The sequence below is a fragment of the Homo sapiens genome, chromosome 5, assembly GCF_000001405.40.
Source record: "Homo sapiens chromosome 5, GRCh38.p14 Primary Assembly".
Classification (NCBI taxonomy): Eukaryota; Metazoa; Chordata; class Mammalia; order Primates; family Hominidae; genus Homo; species Homo sapiens.
The window spans coordinates 17,626,609-17,648,352 of NC_000005.10; the positions used below are offsets into that span (position 1 = coordinate 17,626,609).

Sequence of the window (21,744 nt, forward strand, 5' to 3'; positions counted from 1 at the left end):
TGAGGTGGATGGATCATGAGGTCAACAGATTGAGACCATCCTGGCTTAACTCGGTGAAACCCCGTCTCTACTAAAAATACAAAAATTGACCAGGTGTGGTGGCATGCACCTGTAATCACAGCTACTCGGGAGATTGAGGCAGGAGAATTGCTTGGACCTGGGGGGCGGAAGTTGCAGTGAGCCGAGATCACGCCACTGCACTCCAGCCTGGGTGACAAAGTGAGACTCCATCTCAAAAGAAAAACAAAAACAAGTTGCATGTTAGACAACTTACATGTCTGTGGAAAAACACCAAGGCTTGAGATCATGAGGTCTTCATCAGATCCCATGAGGATGAAGTGAACTGGGAAGGGGAATATGGAAACCTGAAATGGCCACTCCTCTATGAAGGATTCTCCTGGGGCATTTCTCTCTTCAAAGGTGATGCTCCTGCAAATCTGCTGGTAGCCTCCTGGGGAAGGCAAAGCTGTTGTGAGAAAACAGTGACATGTGACTGTCACTGATGCCCCCTTTGGCTTCTTTTCCACTTTGAATGTGGATTTGATGCCTGAACAGAGCTATCCTGTTGTTGCCCAGGATGAAAACACCATGAGGTCCTGAGAAGTCAGCCCCGACCTCTCTGAATTGCTGAACCGAGGTCACAGCTTAGCTAAGTAAATATTGAAAACATTTCATTATTTGAATAGCTTTAGCAGTACCAAATTGTTTTGGGCACCATAGATGAATTGTACGGTGGTCAAGTCTATTTCAGTTTACTCTTAATGAACTTTTGTGATACTTGTAACATAAATTATTGTTCAATTCAATGCAGATTTCATGCACAGAATGACAAATTTTATGATATCAATATTACAAAATACATTCCTGTTAGCATTTTTTTAATTAGAGCTTAGTATTATTATTTTCTAGTTGTGTAGTTTTTTAAAAAAAATTATGTTTCATTAGCTTGTAAAAACCACTCATAAGTGGTTTTTGTTCCATACGTGAATTGTATGGTGTTGAAGTCAAGAATTTTAGTGCGCTCATCACGTGACTACTATACCTACATTGCACCCAGTAGGCAGTTTTTCATCCCCCCATCACCCTGCCACTTCTGAGTCTCTAATGTCTGTGTTACCACCCTGTATGCCTTTCCTACCCACAGCTTAGCTCCCACTTCTAAGTGAGAATGTGCACCATTTTGCTCTAGATTCCTGAATGACTCCACTGAGAATAATGGCCTGTAGTTTCATCCACGTTGCTGTAAAAGACATGATTTCATTGCTTATGGCTGAGTAGTAGTCCATGGCATATATGAACCCCATTTAACTTTACTCACTCATCAGCTGATGGGCACTCAGGTTTATTTTATATCTTTGCAATCGCGAATTGTGCTAGGGTAAACATATGTGTGCAGGTCTGTTAAGTGGTGTGAGTTCTTTTTCTTTTGTGTGTCTACCCACTATTTGGATTACTGGATCGAATGGGAGATGTACTTTGAGATATCTTCATGCTGTTTCCTACAGAGATTACATTAATTTGCATTGTGACAGCAGTGCCTAAGCATTCCCTCTCACCACATCCACCCCAGCATCTATCATTTTTGACTATTGAATAATGGTCATTCTGGTGGGGTAAGGTGATACCGCACTGTGGTTTTACTTTGCATTTCTCTGATGATTAGTGATGCGGGGCATCTTTTCCTCTGTTTTTTTTTTTTTTTTTTTTTTTTTGGAATTGTTGTATCTTCTTCTGAGAAATTTCTATGCACATCACTTGCCCACTTTATAGTGGGATTATATTTGTTTTTTTCTTGTTTATTTGTTAGAACTGCTTGTAGATTCTGGATCTGTTAGTCCTTTGTCAGATGCATAGTTTGCAGATGGTTTGTCCCATGCCATAGGTTGTTTGTTTACTAAGGATTATTTCTTTTGTTGTCCAAAAGCATTTTCTACTCAATAAGAAATTTGATGATAATAAAATGAAAAACTCATGGTATCTGAATATGTAAGGCACTGTCAATTATGTATCCACATTCAGTATTTGTGTAATAATTAAAGAAGTAACACTACAAGGAACCGTCCTGGAACTATACTGGATAAACTTAGAGCCTCTAACACATTGCTTGGTTTTCTGACAGACCAAAACCATTAAGAAATTCCCAGCCTGGCTAATGTAAACAAAAATTCAGAGTAATACTTGAAAATATCAGATTTTTAAATGTCTAGAGTGGAAGAATTCAACTTCACAAATACAGCATTTCCTCCAGGATACATAGCATGTAGAAAAGTGTTCAATAAATATTTGCTGAAAAATAGTTTTTTGAGTCTGTTGTCTACAAAGGGGATGTCAGTGATCAAGAAAACAGCCATCTAATTAGTATGTTTCTTATTTTTAAGTTAACAATTAGAGACACATAATGGTTTTGGGGTGTAACAGTTTTAAAACTTTCCTCTGCCAGCACCTTTATGGGTGCATCCGGAAAGGCTCTGCTTGTTATGAATGCCTTTGTATACATTCTGCAAAATAATAATGGTGGTTCTGACGTAATTTAAAAAAATTTTTAATTGGGCATAGACAGAAATGGAAGAAATGCTGAAGAAAATTAAAAGAGATTTCAGAGCAAGAATTATAGTAACGGGATAAAGAATGATAATTATTTTCATGGGTAAAACTTTAAATGCTTTTATCCTTTTAAAAGCAATTCCAATATGTTCCTAACATTGATGCTTAGAAAGCAGCTAAGTGTGTTGTAGGGTACAAAGTGTCTGTAATTTTTCTCTGGAGACTATAAAATGTGACCTGGATCTGGCCCATAGGTTTCTGTGGCAGTCTATCTAATGCAATCAGAAGAGAGTGGATGGCTGAAGTTACTATCATCTGTGAGGTTTATGTTTTGGAAGAGTTAATCTAGGAGGCTCTTCTTATTTTTTTTCCACTTGCATCTTATCAGTAAGAGCTTTTTTTCAAAAAAAATGAGATAGCTTCTTGCTCTATCACCTAGGCTGGAGTGCAGTAGCAAGATCTCTGCTCACGGCAACCTATGCCTCCTGGGCTCAAGGGATCCTCCCACCTCAGCCTCCCAAGTAGCTGGCACCACTGGCATGCACACCGTGCCTGGCTAATTTACGTATTTTCTATAGAGAAGAGGTTCTGCTCTGTTGTCCAGGCTGATCTCAAACTCCTGGGCTCAAGTGATCTGCCTGCCTCAACCTCCCAAAGTGCTGGTATTACAAGCATGAGCCACCATGCCCGGCCAGTAAAACATTTTTGAATAGCCCACATATATATCTGGTTATTTATAAGCTTAATTTATGGGCTATAGTCATTTTGTATATAAACATTAGTTAATTTAATTCTTTTCCTTAGATAAAAATAAACATAAATCAACATTAAATTTTGTTCTTTGTGCCTCAATTATCTTGCATATTTTGGGGGCATGTGGCCTTCTAATCTTTTCATTTAAGAAGTCATTAATTTAGATCTCTCTCTAGGGTGTTTATCTCTCTAGATAGAGACCTACTAGAGTTTAAGAGAAAAATGAGGAGTATATAAAGCTTAGATAAATTCAGTGTCTTTTTAGAGTATAGTGAGAGATAACTGTATATGGTAATTAATTTTTATGAGAAGTTTATGTATCTGTGTTTGTTTTATTTCAGGGGTTAATTTTCAAGTTTTGGATGGTTCTCCCTCTTTGAGTTGCCATTTGTTTCTGCTTATAACCTACCGATCATGACTTCAGTACCAGTAAATATTGGAAATGAAAGGCCCTATGTGACTTACAAAGATTCCGATGTAAATATGTTTTCCTGGTAAAGACGGGTTTCACCATGTTGTCCAGGCTGGTCATGAACTCCTGACCTCAGGAGATCCACACAACTCCGCCTCCCAAAATGCTGAGATTACAGGCATGAGCCACCGTGCCTGGCCAGTAATTTCATATCTTCTACCAACTATTTTTGAATAAACAAAAGCTCTTTAAAAGTCAGATATTTGAGTGTCTGCTTTATCTTCTGAAGTAGTTTTTATGCCATTTATCAACATAATTTTCCCTAAATGTGATGTAAATCTTTGTGCATGACGTAATTTTATGTCTCTTTGGTGCTTCTCTGTGACCTATGTATACATACACATGTAATATATAAAATTGAAATCTGGGCGCAGTGGCTCATGCCTGTAATCCCTTCACTTTGAGAAATCAAAGTGGGGCAGATCACTTGAAGTCAGCAATTCAAGATCAGCCTGGCCGGAATGGTGAATCCTCGTCTCTCCTTGAAAAAATACAAAAATTTGCCTGGCGTGGTAGTGCGCACATTTAGTCCCAGCTACTCTGGAGGCTGAGGCAGGAGAATCCGTTGAGCCTAGGATGCAGAGGCTGCAGTGGGCTGAGATCAGGCCACTGTAATCCAGCCTGGGGGACAGAGCGAGACTCTGTCTCAAAAATAAATAAATAAATAAATATATTAAAAAAAATAACATTGAAATCATATTTTCTTATTCCCATCACCCAGCCCAGTTTATTTTCAGAGTGCCTGATAAATCACTTGTTTCCCTATGAGTTAGGGATTTTTTTCTCAGACATTTAAATTTTCTAATGCGCAATTTCGTAAAATGTCTCATTTTTACTGTAAATAGTTTCTTTATTGTTTCTTTATTGTTGTGAGGAATCATTCGATTCTGTGAAGAAGACTGAATTCTGAAATGTCCCTTGCATTTCCCTCCCCTCAGAGACTCGCCCTGTGTCTGCCCCTCCCTTGGGTGTGGGCGGAAGCATGAATTGATGTGCCCGCCCAACTTCCTGATTAGATTAGGGATATCCTGAACCAATGGCTGCTAAGGGCTGGGTCTAATTCAATCATCTGAGCCCTTTATAAGGGAGGACTGAACCCCCCTGTGATTACGCTCCCCTGTGGGAGATTCCCCAGCACTGGCTGTGCACACCCAGGGAGCCTCACGGCCCAGACCTGGGCAGCACGGGTAGGAGCTGAGAGCATCCTCACGGCAGCAGGCAGAACAAACAAGTGGGCCTGGGGCTCACAACCCTAAGGCATTGTTGAATTCTGCCACCAACTCGAATCATATCGAAGCCAGACCCTTCTCAGGTGGAGGCAACGACCACACAGCCAGACCCATCCTGGAGGTCCCTCCTGGGACTCTGAGCAGGAGGCAGTCACTTGGCCTAGCAGAACTTCTGACCTGTGAGCTGGTGTTTGTTTTAAATACCCAAAATTGGTGAGAATTCGTTCTGCATTGATCTAAAACTAATATACTCTCCTTCCACAAGTTTCTTCACACTGTGGAAGTGAGAAAATTCAGTGTGTGTGTTTGTGTGTGGGAAGGGGAGGCCGGGAACTGTGTCCGGTTACGGCGAAACTGGCTCAGCAGAAACACAGCAGCTAAAATCTTTGAAAGGTTCTCATCGCAGATCCATAATCAAACCACCCCAGCCGGAACTTCTGCCTGTACAGCTGCTGTCACGGAGCAGACTTGAATCTCACCCATGGAGACCGGCAGGCAAACAGGCGTGTCTGCTGAGATGCTCGCCATGCCCCGAGGTCTGAAGGGCAGCAAGAAGGATGGAATCCCTGAGGACCTAGATGGGAACTTGGAAGAACCCAGGGATCAGGAAGGTGAGCTCAGGAGTGAGGATGTCATGGACCTCACAGAAGGTGACAGTGAGGCCTCAGCCTCAGCTCCTCCTGCAGCCAAAAGACGGAAAACACATACGAAACGCAAGAAGGAGAGGAAGCCCACCGTGGATGCAGAGGAGGCTCAGAGGATGACAACCCTGCTGTCTGCCATGTCTGAGGAGCAGCTGTCCCGCTACGAAGTGTGTCGCCGGTCAGCTTTCCCAAGAGCACGCATTGCGGGTCTGATGCGGTCTATCACTGGCAGTTCGGTGTCTGAGAACGCGGCCATTGCCATGGCTGGAATAGCCAAGGTCTTTGTTGGAGAGGTGGTGGAAGAGGCCCTGGACATGTGTGAGATGTGGGGAGAGACGCCCCCGCTGCAGCCCAAGCATTTAAGGGAGGCTGTTCACAGGTTAAAGCCCAAGGGCCTCTTCCCCAACAGCAACTACAAAAGAGTCATGTTCTAGGCCCAAGGCCAGAGGGCAGGGTCTGTTTGTGCAGGAATAAGTACCGCGTTCATCTTCCAATGACAGGAGTGTGTTTGCTGGAGCTTCTGCATCTCAGTCCCACCTGGATTTACCCACGATCTTAGTGTCTTAAAATGTGAAGTTGCCCTTACCTGGATGAAGACAGCAGATTGTTTCATAGGAGCCTTGGCTAAATCTTTGGGCATTTTAATGGGATGTGGAGGCGTTTTTCTATGTCTTTCCAGTTGGAGGAATCAAGGTGCCTGGGCCAAGAGCATCCTGTGGACAGGCAGCTGCATTCAGAGAGGGAAGCCCTTCCCAGGAGATCTGCATGGTTTCCTGCTGAAGCCTGGTGTAGCTGTGTCTTAGCTTGTATGCTTATGTCTGGGTTCCAGTAATTGGAGCTTGCAGAAATGTTTCCCCGATTGTTCTTCTGTACATTTTCAATGCTCATATGTATTTTTGTGAGTCATCTTGAAAACAGTTAAACTGTTCAACTGGTTTCCAAACTGCAGAAATCAAAATGAAATCACAAAACACTTTTTTTTCCCCAAGTTGACTCTTCTATTCCTGCCTGCTGTGCTTTATGCCAGCAAGTGACCCTTTCCTGTATTATAATGCAATATAGTATAGATGCATCATGTAAGACTAGAGAGAAACCAATTCCAAAACCACCTTTCCTCAAGCCGCCATTTGTAACGATCATATGGGCGGTTTAAAGGACACAGAGAGGGCCTATTGATACTTCACTTTGGCTATACGTGGTGATTTTTGCAGTGCTTCCGGAGACACTGAAATTTAGTTCCAAACATTGCCTTAGAGGATTCTTGATATTATTCATTCTGCCGATGATCCACTCAGAAAATGAAACCTGAGTACGGCGACATTGGAGAAGTCGTTAAAGCATTGGACCAAGTCGGTTCATCACGAGTGACAAAGATATTCCACACTCTAGTTGTACATACTCTGCTTTACCTTCATGATGGAAAAGAGTAATTTTTCGCTATAGAGTAAAAACCCGAGATTTATTATGGAATCACCGTGAACCTTCCCAGCACAGCTCACAGATCATATGCCAAAAATTACAGTGTGATTCAGTTTCAAAAATTGTCTGTAGTGACCTGTGAATTCACAGCTCGTGAGGACATTCTTTAGTTTGGCGGAAACCAAAAAACCTGAAACCATTGAAATTGAAAAAAATGGAGTCTGCCAAATTCTGCCTCTTACACTTTCAGCTACCATGCCATGTTCAACTATTGTACTTGATAAGTATTGGAAACTTAAAGTACTGATAATTTCAATAGAGTTTCACCAAAGTAGTATTTCTTGTGAGAAAGCCATAATCTCGAATCAGGTCAAAGCCAGACCCTTCTCAGGTGAAGGCAACGACCACACAGCCAGAGCTATCCTGGAGGTCCCTTGTGTGACTCTGAGCAGGAGGCAGTCACTTGGTCTAGTAGAACTTCTGACCTGTGAGCTGGTGTTTGTTTTAAATATCCAAAATTGGTGAGAATTGATTCTGCATTGATCTAAAACTAATATACTGTCCATCCACAAGTTTCTTCACATTGTGGAAGTGAGAAAACCAGTGTATGTGTTTGTGTGTGGAAAGGGGAGGCAGGGAGCTGTGTCCAGTTGTGGCTAACCTATGGCTCAGCAGAAACATAGCGGCTAAAATCTGTGAAAGGTTCTGATTTCAGATGCATAATCAAACCACCCCAGGTGGAACTTCTGCTTCTACAGCTGCTGTCATGGAGCCAACCTGAATCTCACCCATGGAGACCGGCAGGCAAACAGGTGTGTCTGCTGAGATGTTCGCCATACCCCGAGGTCTGAAGGGCTGCAACGAGGATGGAATCCCTGAGGCCCTAGATGGGAACTTGGAAGAACCCAGGGCTCAGGAATGTGAGCTCAGGAGTGAGGATGTCATGGACCTCACAGTAGTTGACAATGAGGCCTCAGCCTCAGCTCCTCCTGCAGCCAAAAGACAGAAAACAGATACCAAAGGCCAGAAGGAGAGGAAGCCCAGTGTGGATGCAGAGGAGGCTCAGAGGATGACAACCCTGCTGTCTGCCATGTCTGAGGAGCAGCTGTCCCGCTATGAAGTGTGTCGCCAGTTAGCTTTCCCAAAAGCACTTGTTGCACGTCTGATGTGGTCTATCACTGGGAGATCGGTGCCTGAGAACATGGCCATTGCCATGGCTGGAATAGCCAAGGTCTTTGTTGGAGAGGTGGTGGAAGAGGCCCTGGACATGTGTGAGATGTGGGGAGAAATGCCCCCATTGCAGCCCATGGATTTAAGGGAGGCTGTTTGCAGGTTAAAGCCCAAGGGCCTCTTCCCCAACAACTATAAAAAAGTCATGTTCTAGGCCCAAGGCCAGAGGGAAGGGTCTGTTTTTGCAGGAGTAAGTACTGCATTCATCTTCCAATGACAGGACTGTGTTTGCTGGAGCTTCTGCCTCTCAGTCTACCCTGTATTTACCCATGATCATAGTGTCTTAAAATGTGAAGTTGGCCTTACCTGGATGAAGACAGCAGATTGCTTCATAGGAGCCTTGGCTAAATGTTTGGGCCTCTGAGGTCATATTGTGGCATTTTTGTATGTCTTTCCAGTTGGAAGAATAAAGGTGCCTGGGCCTAGAGCATCCTGTGGACAGGTAGCTGCATTCAGAGAGGGAAGTCCTTTCCAGGAGATTTGTATGGTTTCATGCTGAAGCCTGGTGTTGCTGTGTCTTAGCTTGTATGCTTATGTCTGGGTTTCAGTAAGTGAAGCCTCCAGAAATGTTCCCCAATTGTTGTCCTTCTCTGTATTTTCAATGCTCTTTTGTATTTTTGTGAGTCATCACAAAAACAGTTAAACTGTTTTCCAAACTGCAGAAATAAAAATAAAATCACAAAGCATTTTTTTCTCTAAGTTGACTCTTCTCCTATTCCTGCCTACTGTGCTTTATGTCAGCAAGTGACCCTTTACTTTATTAAATGTGATACAGTATAGATGCATCACGTAAGACTAGAGAGAAACCAATTCCAAAGCCACCTTTCCTCAAGCCGCCATTTGTAATGAACATATATGTAGTTTAAAAGGCACAGAGAGAGCCTACTGATACTTCATGTTTGCTACACATGGTGATATTACCAGGGCTTCCAGAGACACTAAAATTTAGTTCCAAACATTGCTTTAGAGGAGTCTTGATTTTATTCATTCTACTAATGAGCCACTCAGGAAATCAAACCTGAATACAGAGACATTGGAGAAGTCGTTAAAGTATTGGACCAAGTAGGTTCATCACGAGTGACAAAGTTATTCCACACTCTACTTGTACATACTCTGCTTTACCTTTATGATGGAAAAGAGTAATTTTTCATTACAGAATAAAGACCTGGGATTTATTATGGAATCACCGTGAACCTTCCCAGCACAGCTCACAGATATCCATGGTGCTATTTCAGTCTGTTTTCCTTTGCCATGTGCCCCCTGAATCACAGAGTATAAGCAAAAAGGATCGAAAAGACCCCATAGTTCAGCTCTAATATTGAATGGAGAATAACATGTTCTCTTTCTTCCTGAAGCCAAAGATACCCCCATGAAATATATTTTTATTTCCTCATACACTCAGCTTTTGCTCTTAATATAGGACTTATTGTACATAGAATCTGCCTTTGGGTAGCACACAAATTTCTAAACTTTACCAAGTATGGGGAAATTATGTTTCATACCTCCATATTCTGACATCGTTTAGCTTTCCTTTTATTTTACCAAGTTTCTTGTAAAGGCATTTAACAAGTTAGACCAGTGTGTCTTAGAGACACAAGGAGGGTACAGGTTCTTGGAAGAAATGATGGAGATGTGAGGGCTCTGTCAGGAATTGAAGTGCTTGAGCAACCAAAAGAAGTGAGATCCAAGAGACTTAATATCTCCTAGTCTTTATATTGCTCTCAGCTCATTCCTTTTTCATGGCATTGAGCAGTCTTGGAAGTTGTATTCTGGCAGATGTGGCAGGTCGAGCCCTTTCAGAACACTAGAGGAAAAGAGAACCTGGCCCAAGCAACCTGAGGTTGAGACAAACATCTGCAGAGAGCAGTGCTGATGGTGATTCCACACTCAAGCTTAGAACATTTTTCTGGCCCCTGATAGAACTCAATACTTTGAGTGGGGTCTGAGTAAAGCTGAACTGCTGAAGACAGAAACAAGTTCCCATCAAGGTCTCAGAGGTCAGTTCAGGAGCTGGAACACAGCGTTGTTTTCTCAGAGAGGAAAATTGGATTAGCTGAGAAGGTTCAGTGTCCTTACACATTCTTTTTTTTTTTTTCCTTTAAATTTTGGGATACATGTGCAGAACGTGCAGGTTTGTTACAAAAGTATACATATGCCCTAGTGGTTTGCTGCACCTATCAACCCATCATCGAGGCTTTAGGCCCAGCATGCATTGGGTATTTGTCCTAATGCTCTCCTTTCTCTTGCCTCCCACCCCCTGACAGGCCACGCTGTGTGATGTTCCCCTCTCTGTGTCCATATATTCTCATTGATCAACTCCCATTTATGAGTGAGAACATGTGGTGTTTGGTTTTCTGTTCCTGTGTTAGTTTGCTGAGAATGATGGTTTGCAGTGTCATCCATGTCACGGCAAAGAACACGAGCTCATTCTTTTTTTATGGCTGCCATGTATTCTATGGTGTATATATACCACAGGTTCTTTATCCAGTCTATCATTGATGGGCATTTGGGTTGGTTCCAACTCTTTGCTATTGTAAACTGTGCTGCAATAAACATATATGTGTATGTGTTTTTATAGTAGAATGATTTACAATCCTTTGGGTATATAGCCAGTAATGAGATTGCTGGGTCCAGCGGTATTTCTGATACTAGAGGAATCACCACACTGTCTTCCACAATGGATGAACTAATTTACAGTCTCATAAACATTGTAAAAGTGTTTCTATATCTCCACAGCCTTGCCAGCATCTGTTGCTTCCTGACTTTTTAATAATCACATACTAAATCTTCTCAATATATAATATCATACAGCCACAGCTCTCAAGAAAGAAATCTGTAGAAAGTGGTATCTTTCCAGGAGAAATCTTTGACAGCTTTCATGACTGATTGTATTACATGTTAATGAAGTTTTTCCTGGAGCTTCATTACTGTTCTTAAAGTCTATCTCATAATGTACATTTGGAGACTGCCTAGAAAAATGTGGTCTCTGTTTGGTGCTGGTAAAGTGGTGACAAGATACCTAATAAAGTGACTGTACTTGACTATTTTCCATAATTTACTATTTTGGGATAAGCTTAACATCTTCACTGTCTGCCTTTGCCCTCCACAAGTAATTAGCATATGTCTAAATAAAGTTAAGCAAGGTAGCTCCACTTTTCCCAAGCACATATTGTCTAGGGTCTAGTCTTTAGAAGTATAAAGTACAAAGCTTAAAAGTACAACTCACAAAATTTTGTACCCAAACTAGAAAGGCTAAAATGATCAATTGATGGATTTGTGTTTCCTATGGAAGAGGGTAGAAAGCAGAATGTTAGTATACATATATAGGGGAGAAGATGGCAGGGCTTTTATAAAATGAATGTGGTCAAATCTTGGGAATAGTTTCTTAAGCAGCATAAATATTAGAGAGGCAATTCATGAAAGTTCAACTTATTGTCATGTCTAGAAATATCAAGACATAGCTAGCATATTTTTAAAAATAAATTTTTCTCAACGAAACTATTAATGAGACAGATGAGATGTTTCCTTTATTTTTTTTTTCCAATTACTTAGTTTTTCTTAGTCACATATTCAAGGGAGTATACTGCTGTTTGGTAAAATGCGATAATTCCACATCATGTTTTTGTTTGTTTTTAAAGATGAAAAGCTGAAAAACCTTGTTTTGTGTTAGCAATACCACCAGATTATTCAAATTTCTTTAGAATTATACTCCAAAAATTACACTGTTATTTAGCTTCAAAACTGTTTGTAATGGACCTGTGAATTGACAGCTCATTAGGACATTCTTTAGTTTGGCTGAAACCAAAAAACCTGAAACCCTCAAAATTGAAAAAATAGTGTTTGCCAAATTCTGCTTTTTACACTTTCACCTACTATGCGATGTTCAAATATTGTACTTGACAAGTATTGGAAAATTCAGGTCATGTTAATTTCAAAATACTTTCACTAAAATAGTATTTTTGTGAGAAAGCCATAATCTCATCAGTAATGCCTTTTTAAAAAATCCAGCAGAAAATATGAACTAGCAACTCATCATGACAAAAAAGTAAAACTCAGGAAAAATCCTAAGGCAGAGCAGCTTCCGGCTTCAGTGTGAAACCATCATAGTCCCTTAGAAGGAGATTCTCTCTTAGAGCAGTTCACTGTCCAGAAGATGCTCAAGGACCATATACTTTTCTTCTTCCAACTATGAAGATGTAGAAAAATGACAATTCACTCAAGGAGGAAAAAATATTTAGGGAAAGTTATTATGAAAAAGGCTGCTTCAACGATCTAGGTGAGATGAATGTCAGAATTTGAGGAAGATGTTAAAATCGAGGGTGATTCCAGGGTAGACTGAGATACAGAAGTTCCAGCACACAAAGTCTTCTGTCACCCTGCCTGTCACTGAGGCACCCTGGCTCCTTTTTTACCTTGATGCCAGGGCTGAGCCTTGTTTCCATTGCCCATTTTGAAAATGGCATGAAGCCCTGTGAAGGCCCTGAGTTCACTGAACTTCTGAACCCAGGTCACAGCTGCTACCTTCATACCTCTGGCTGCATGAGAAAAAGTAAAGCAGACAAAAACAAACAAGCAAATAAACAAAAACCACACATACAAAAGGCCCTTATTTCAATACACTATTAACAGGCTTCTCTGATACTTGTAGTAGAAATTTAATGCCCTTGTATGCAATGCACAGACCATGCACAGAACAGGAAATCCAGTGATAATCAATATTCACAAAATAAGTTCACATTCCTGTTTTAAAAGGAGAGCTACTTTTGTAGAAAACCTTTAGGTTCACAGCAAAATTGGGCAGAAGGAACAGGGGTTCCCCGTATCCTCTTTCCCTACATCTGCATACCCCCTTCACTATCAACTTTCTGCCCCAGAGGGGCACATTGGCTACAGTCATTCAACCTACATGGACACATCTCTCTGACTCCAAGACCATAGCTCTCCTTAGGGATTCACTTGGGTGTTGTACATTCTATGGACTCACGCAAAGGCAAAATTACATGTATCCACCGTTATTGTATTCTATGGACTAGTTTCACCTCCATACAAATGCACTGTGTCCCGTCTATGCACTCCCCCTTCACCCTTGGTCTCTTGCAACCACTCAACTGTTGATTTATTTATTTGTATTTAAAACAGGCACATCTCATTGTATATATTTCTTATGTACATAATGCTATTATAAAGTATGTGCACATTGTCTAACATCTAATTTAGGTAATTGACAGCCATTAGCTGACGTATGTATTATTGTGGTGAGAACACTTCACATCCATGCTAATAGCATTTTTCAAGAATACGATATATTGTTAACTATAGTCACCATGTGGTAATATAGTCCTTGAGCTTATTCTCCCCATATAAACGAAATGTGTATTTCGACAAACATCTTCTCAATCCTTCATCCATGGCCACCCAGCCCCTGACAACCAGAATTCTTCTTTTTGACATCTATTAGATTAACTTTGTGAGATTCCACATATCATTGAGATGACCTGGTATTTGTCTTCCTACACCTGGCTTATTTCACTTAGCGTGATGTTCTTCAGGTACATCGGTGTGTCACAAATGACAACACGTCTTTCTTTAAGACTGCATAGTATTCCATTGTGCATGTATATCAGATTTATCCCATCCTGTCATCCATTTTTGGACATTTAGGTGAATTCCATATCTTAGCTATTGTGAATTAACTTGGGAGTGCAGATATCTCTTCAATACTGATTTCATTTCCTTTTGGTATATACCTGGCAGTGTGGGATTGCTGGATTATATGGTAGCTCTATTCTTTCCGTTTTTGGAGGAATGTCCATCCTGCTTTCTATAATGGCTGCCCTAATTTACGTTCCCATGAATAGTGCAAGGGTTCCCTTTCCTCCACATCCTCATCAACAAGTGTTGTCTTTTGACTTTTTGATCATAGACATCCTAATGAGTGTGAGGTGATATCTTCTTTCAGCTTTAATTTGCATATTTCTGATGATTAGTGATGTTGAACACATATATATACACACACACACATACCTGTTGGCTACTGTATGTCTTCTTTTCAGAAATGTTTGTTATTTAGGTCTTTTGCCAGGTTTTTAAATTGTGTTGTTTTTTGCTATTGAGTCATTTGAGTTCCTAGAGTATTTTGGACAGTAATTAATCCCTTATATGATGTTGGGTTTGAAAATATTTTCTCTCATTATGATTTTACCTCTTCACGGTGTTGATTGTTTTGTCGGCTTTGCAGATTTTTTTTTAAGTTGGTTGCCATCCATTTGTCTATTCACCTTTTCATTGTCTGTGCTTTTGGGTCATATTCCAAAAGTTATTGGCTTAACCAGTGTCAATGAGGATGTCCCCTGTTTTCTTCTAGTTGGTTTATAGTTTCAAGTTTTTAATTTATTTTGATTTACTCTTGTGTACAGTATGAAATAGGGGTCAAATTTCATTTTTCTTCATGTGGATACCGAGTTTTCCTATCACCATTGATGGAAGAAACTGTGGTATTGTGGTGGTGGGTTGTTGGCACCTTTTTAAACAATCAGTTGCCTGTATATGTATGGACTGATTTCTAGACTCTTTGCTCTGATCCAGTGGCTTAGGTGTCTGTTTTTATCCCAATGTCTTGCCATTTTGATTCCTACAGCTTGGTAGCATACTTTGAAGATAAAAAACCATGAAATCTTTTTATTTTCCCTTTGTATTTGCCTCTGACATCATCACTCAGAGAGATTTCAAAGGAGATATTGATGCTTTGCATTTTCAGTTTTTTTCTGATTGTGAAGTTAGAGTGATGACATTGAATTTCCTTAGGTGTCACCCTGAAAACTGGAGCTCCATTTTATTTTTGCTATATATTTATTACTGTTTATATTATATAATGGGTATTTGGCAATTACATGTCAGTACAATTACAAATAGGCTTCAATTACACAAAATATTTAATGCTCAAATCCTACAGTAAGAGGACGTTATATTTTTTAATACAATAATCTGAAAAATAAACTAAAAATAAAACATCATCTAGTATAACAATATATTGTTATTGTATGCAGTTCTGTTTTAGACAAGCACAAAACACACACCAATCTGTTATTTCAGCCATTAATATAGTTTACATTGGGAACAGGTCTTTGGAGGTGAAGGCGTGGAAATGAATGAAGAGATTAGACAGGGTCTCTGGGGTTTGTGTTTCTCTGTGTAGTTTTTCATGCAGCTCCTAGAGTGTGTTACCACCCTAACATCATGAAAGATCACTCCGTGAATTAAAACAATCTTGGTCCAAATGTGAATATCCCATTTTATAGGAAAAACTAATTTTTAACTTCATTTTTATTTTGCAAGCTGAAAAACAGTTGGTTGATTTCCCAGGAAAATTATGGAAAAGCATTAAATGTTTACAAAGTACCTATTCCAGTGCCTTTAGAAAGCCCGGGACTTTCTAGATAGAGTATTGGAAGACTTACTGTTTGTTTTATCTCTTCAAAATCACATTTGAGCAAAAACATCCAAAGTCATAGTAACTTCAGGATTTAGTGTGAATCCAGCACAGTCTCTTAAAAGGATGTCTTTTTTCTCTCTGAAAACAGCTCCCCGTCCACAGCATGCCCAAGGCCCATGTACCTTTCTTCCTCCAACTAGGAAGACCCAGAAAGACCCCGCTCATGCATGGACCTCAGAGAACCAAATATAATGACAATGATTGTTAGTTTTTTGAGACAGAGTCTTACTCTGTTGACCAGGTGGAAGGTCAGTGATGTCGATTTGGCTCCCTGCAACTTCCACCTCCAGAGCTCAATCGATCTTTCTACCTCAGCCTCTGAGTAGGTGAAACCACAGGCACCAGCAACCACACCACCTAATTTCTTTTTGGAGAGGAAGTTTTGCCAAGATTCCTGGCCTGGACAGGAACTCCTGAGCTCAATCGATCTGCCCCTGTCGGCCACCCAAAGTGCTGGAATTAGAGGAATGAGCCATTGTGCCTGGTCTGAAATATAAACATGATTTGAAGGGATTCTGAAACCAGCTGCTGCCTTCATCTGGGTGATACCAATATCTTCCCAGAGGAAGATGATGATTTTTTTTTGTACTGGATGTTGGGGAAACAGTACCTGGGTTGTCCCCTGTGAAAGGCCTTTTTCCAATGTCCGGGGTGTAACTGGGGCTTCTTCCCACATCTCACACACGTCCAGGGCTTCTCCTACCACCTCCCCGACAAAGACCTGGGTCATTACAGCCATGTCCACGGCAGTAACCTGGTTCTAGGACACTGACCTGCACCTGATGGAATGCATCAGACTTTTACAGGATGCCTCTCTCCCTTTCCCACCACAGACACACCCACACTGGTTATTCTGCCAACCCTAATGTGAAGTGACTTGTGGATACATCGTCTATTCATATTGTAGAAAGTAGAGATCAATGTATGTTCATAGCAAACTAGGAGGAACAGCCCAGGCGACAGAGAACATTGCAAACATGGAACTGTATATGGAGAAAGCCAAAGTGTGGATCTCATCTACTGTTTGATCAATCACAGGAGACATTATCGGTTTGACACCTATAATTTTTTTTTCTTTAAGGAATCTCCACACTATTTTCCATAGTGGCTGTACTAGTTTACATTCCCACCAGTGGTGTAGAAGTGTTTCCTGATGACTACATCCACGCCAACATCTACTGTTTTTTGATTTTCTGATTATGACCATTCTTGCAGGAGTAAGGTGGTATCACATTGTGGTTTTGATTTGCATTTCTCTCATTATTAATGATGTTGATCATTTTTTCATATGTTTGTTGTCCATTTGAATATCTTCTTTTGAGAATTGTTTATTCATATCCTTAGCCCACTTTTTGATGGCATTGTTTGTTTTTTGTTACTGATTTTTCCGAGTATATTGTAGATTCTGGATGTTAGTTGTTTGTCAAATTGTATAGATTGTGAAGATTTTCTCCCACTCTGTGGGTTGTCTGTTTACTCTGCTGACTGTTCCTTTTGCTGGCAAAAAAATTAGTTTAATTAAGTCCCAACTAGGTTATCTTTGTTTTCATTGTATTTGCTTTTGGGTTCTTGGTCATGAAATTCTTGCCTAAGCTAATGCCTAGAAGGGTTTTTCCAATGTTATCTTCTAGAATTTTTATAGATTCAGGTCTTAGATTTAAGTCCTTATCCATCTTGAGTTGATTTTTGTATAAGGTGAGGATCCTCATGTATAAGATAAGGATCCAGCTGGGCGCGGTCGCTTATGCCTGTAATCCCAGCACTTTGGGAGGCCGAGGCAGGCGGATCACGAGGTCAGGAGATCGAGACCATCTTGGCTAGCATGGTGAAACCCCTCTCTACTAAAAATACAAAAAATTAGCCAGGTGTGGTGGCAGGCGCCTGTAGTCCCAGCTACTTGGGAGGCTGAGGCAGGAGAATGGCGTGAACCTAAGAGGTGGAGCTTGCACTGAGCTGAGATATGCCACTGCACTCCAGCCTGGGTGACAGAGCGAGACTCCATCTCAAAAATAACAACAACAACAACAAAACAAATAACAACAAAAAACAAACAAAAAAAAAAACAAAAAAAAAGATGAGGATGAGGATTCGGTTTCATTCTCCTACATGTGACTAGCCAATTTTCTCAGCACCATTTGTTGAAAAGGGTGTCCTTTCCCCACTTTATATTTTTGTTCGCTTTGTTGAAGATCAGTTGGCTGTAAGTATTTGGGCTTATTTCTGGGTTTTCTATTCTGTTCCATTGTCTATGAGCCTATTTTTATACCAGTACCATGCTGTTTTGGTGACTATTGCCTTATTGTATAGCTACAAATCAGGTAGTGTGATGCCTCCAAATTTGTTCTTTTTGCTTAGTCTTGCTTTGGCTATGTGGGCTCTTTTTTGGTTCCATACGACTTTTAGAATTAGTTTTTCTAATTCTATAAATAATGATGGTGGTATTTTGATGGGGATTGCATTGAATTTGTAGATTGCTTTTGGCAGTATGGTCATTTTCACAATATTCTATCCATCCATGAGCATAGATTGTGTTTCCATTTGTTTGTGTCATTTATGATTTCTTTCAGCAGTGTTCTGTAGTTTTCCTTGTAGAGGTCTTTCACTTCCTTGTTTAGGTATATTCCTGAGTATTTAATTTTTTGCAGCTATTGTAAAAGGGGTTGTTATTGATTTGATTCTCTGCTTGGTTGCTGTTGGTGTATAGAAGAGCTGCTGATTTGTGTACATTAATCTTGTATCTGGAAACTTTGCTGAATTATTTTATTAGTTCTAGGAGCTTTCTGAAGGAGTCTTTAGGGTTTTTGAGGTAAATGATCATATCACCTGCAAACAGTGACAGTGTGACTTCCTGTTTACCAATTTGGATGCCCTTTATTTCTTTCTCTTGACTGATTGCTCTGGCTAGGACTTCCAGTACTATGTTGAAGACGAGTGGTAAGAGTGGGCATCCTTTTCTTGTTCCAGTTCTCAGAGGGAATGCTTTTAACTTTTCCTCATTCAGTATTATGTTGGCTGTTGGCTTGTCATAGATGTCTTTTATTACATTGAAGTGTGTCCCTTGTATGCTGATTTTGCTGACAGTTTTAATCATAAAGCGATGGTGAATTTTGTCAAATGCTTTTTCTGCATCTATTGAGATGATCATGTGATTTTTGTTTTTAATTCTGTTTATGTGGTGTATCACATTTATTGACTTGTGCATGTTAAACCATCTCTGCATCCCTGGTATGAAACTCATTTGATCATGGTGGATTATCTTTTTGATATGTTTATGGATTTGGTTAGCTAATATTTTGTTAAGGATTTTAGCATCTATGTTCACCAGGGATATCAGTCTGTAGTTTTCTTTTTTGGTTATGTCCTTTCCTGGTATGGTATTAGGGTGATACAAGCTTCATAGAAGGTATTAGGGAGGGTTCCCTCTTTATCTTGTGGAATACTGTCAAAAGGATTGGTACCAATTCTTTTTTGAATGTCTGGTAGAATTCTGCTGTGAATCCATCTGGTCCTGGACATTTTTTTGGTAATTTTTAAATTACCATTTAAATCTTGCTGCTTGTTATTAGTCTGTTCAGGGCATCTAATTCTTCCTGATTCAAGCTAGGAGGGTTGTATTTTTTCCAGGAATGTATACATTTCTTCTAGGATTTCTAGTTTATGTGAGTAAAGGTGTTCATAGTAGCCTTGAATGATCTTTTGTATTTCAGTGGTGTCAGTTGTAATACCTCCTGTTTTGTTTCTTAATGAGGTTATTTGTATTTTCTCTCTTCTTTTCTTGATTAATCTTGTTAATAAGTTTATGAATTTTATTTATCTTTTCAAAGAACCAGCTTTTTATTTCAATTATCTTTCATATTTTTTTTTTGTTTCAATTTCATTTAGTTCTGCTCTGATCTTGGTTATTTCCTTTCTTCTTCTGGGTTTGAGTTTAGCTTCTTCTTCTTTCTCTAGTTCCTTGAGGTGTGACATTAGAATGTAAGTTTGTGCTCTTTCAGTCTTTGATGTAGGTGTTTAGGGCTATGAACTTTCCTCTTAGCACCACCTTGGCTGTATCCCAGAGGTTTTGATAGGTTGTTTTATTTTTGTCATTCAGTTCAAAGAATGTTTTAATTTTCATCTTGATTTCATTTTTGACCCACGGCTGGATTGGGTTAATTCAAAGACCTTGTCTTCAAGCTCTGAATTTCTTTCTTTTACTTGTTCAATTCTATCGCTGAGACTTTCCAGAGCATTTTGCATTTCTATAAGTTTGTCCAATGTTTCCTGAAGTTTTGATTGTTTTTCTGTATGCTATCTATTCCCTTGAATATTTCTCCCCTCACTGCTGGTATCACTTTTTGGATTTCCTTGCATTGGGCTTTGTCTTTCTCTGGTCCCTCGCTGATTAGCTTAATAACTAAACTTCTGAATCTTTTTCAGGTAAATCAGGGATTTCTTCTTGGTTTGGATCCATTGCTGGTGAGCTAGTGTGATTTTTTGGGGGTGTTAAAGAGCCTTGTTTTGTCATATTGCCAGAGTTAGTTTTCTGGTCCCTTCTCATCTGGGTAGGCTCTGCCAGAGGTAACGTATAGGGTTGAAGGCTATTGTTCAGATTATTTTGTCCCCACAGGGTGTTCCCTTGATGTAGTACTCTCCTCCTTTTCCTATGGATGTGGCTTCCTGTGAGCCAAGCTGCATTGATTGCTATCTTTCTTCTGGATCTAGCCACCCAGGAAGTCTAAGGTTCCAGGCTGGTACTGGAAGTTTTCTGCACAAAGTCCTGTGATGTGAACCATCTATAGGTCTCTCAGCTGCGGATACGAGCACAGTATCTGGGGCGTCTTCAGGTCCTGCAGGAGCAGTCCACTTCCTTTAGAGGGTCTGTGGGTCCTCTCGGGATTCCTGGTTTATTCTTGCAGTTGTTCTGGAGTTAAAAATTCCACCATAGTCTCTTAAAAGGGTTTCTTTTTTCTCTCTGAAACAGCTCCCTATCCACAGGATGTTCAAGGGCCATGCACCTTTCTTCCCTCAACTAGGAAGACCCAGAACAATGCCTGCCCATTCATGGACCTCAGAGATCCAAATATGATGATGATAATTGTTATTTTTTTTAGACAGAGTCTTGTTCTCTTAGCCTGGTGGGAGGGCAGTGTCGCCATCTCAGCTCACTGCAACCTCCATCTTCCAAGACTTAAGAAAGATGTCAAATCATGGGTAAATCCAGGATGGGCTGAGGTACTGAAGCTCCAGCCCACAGAGGATCCTGTCATAGAAAGACTGGGATGAGTAATTTCTTCTTTAAGATCAGGCCTTTCTATCTAAGCTGAGGTCCAGAGGGAGATGAATTTTTTTTGTACTCAGTGTTTGGGAAGTGGCCCCTGGGCTGTTGCCTGCTAAAGGCCTCCCTCCAATGCTTGGATTGCAGTGGCGGTATGTCTCCCCACATCGCACATATGTCCACAGCCTTCCCTACCACCTTGCTGATCAAAATCTGGGTCATCCCAGCCATTACCTCATTCTAGGGCATCCACCTGCCAGCGATGGACTTCATCAGACTTCTAAAGTGTGCCTCTCTCCCTTTTCCATCCACGAACAGACCCACACTGGGTTTTCTTCCTCCTTTAATGTGATGTGACTTTTGGATAGAGACTCTATTCACATTTCAGAAAGTAGAGTTGAATGTATGTTCATAGCCAATTAGCAGGAACAGCCTAGGAAACAGGGAACTTTGGAAACACATAGCTGCATATAGCAAAAGTCAAAGTGTGGATCTCACCTACTGTTTTGTTCAAGTGTAACAAACATTGAGTTGCCATCAAGAAGAAATTTAATTGGTTTGAAGTAGTCTAAATGTAGGCATAGTCCAGTGAAATGGACTATGTGAAAATGAACCGATTTCTTAACAATTGATGTAAACTTCTGAAACTCACTCACTGAGACACATCCACTTGACACTAGTGCCTTACAACCCTGGGGTTTCTT

General features: G+C 40.4%; 2 protein-coding genes across 2 annotated transcripts, besides 1 other annotated feature; both read left to right on the top strand.

The window, feature by feature from the left end:
- Positions 5,264 to 6,016: an enhancer, noted in NCBI's record as "H3K27ac-H3K4me1 hESC enhancer chr5:17631981-17632733 (GRCh37/hg19 assembly coordinates)". NCBI's record gives its function as "activates a minimal SCP1, AML or CMV promoter by ChIP-STARR-seq in primed H9 embryonic stem cells {active_cell/tissue: H9 hESC(primed)}" and the evidence as "EXISTENCE:reporter gene assay evidence [ECO:0000049][PMID:30033119]".
- TAF11L13 (TATA-box binding protein associated factor 11 like 13) lies at positions 5,480 to 6,076 on the top strand. The gene has a single exon (NM_001401695.1). It carries the CDS (start codon positions 5,480 to 5,482, stop codon positions 6,074 to 6,076), a length of 597 nt encoding a protein of 198 aa, NP_001388624.1.
- On the top strand, positions 7,852 to 8,445 carry TAF11L14 (TATA-box binding protein associated factor 11 like 14). Its single transcript, NM_001401687.1, has one exon. The coding sequence runs from the start codon at positions 7,852 to 7,854 to the stop codon at positions 8,443 to 8,445; it is 594 nt and encodes a 197-aa protein (NP_001388616.1).
- The last annotated feature ends 13,299 nt before the right edge of the window (positions 8,446 to 21,744 follow it).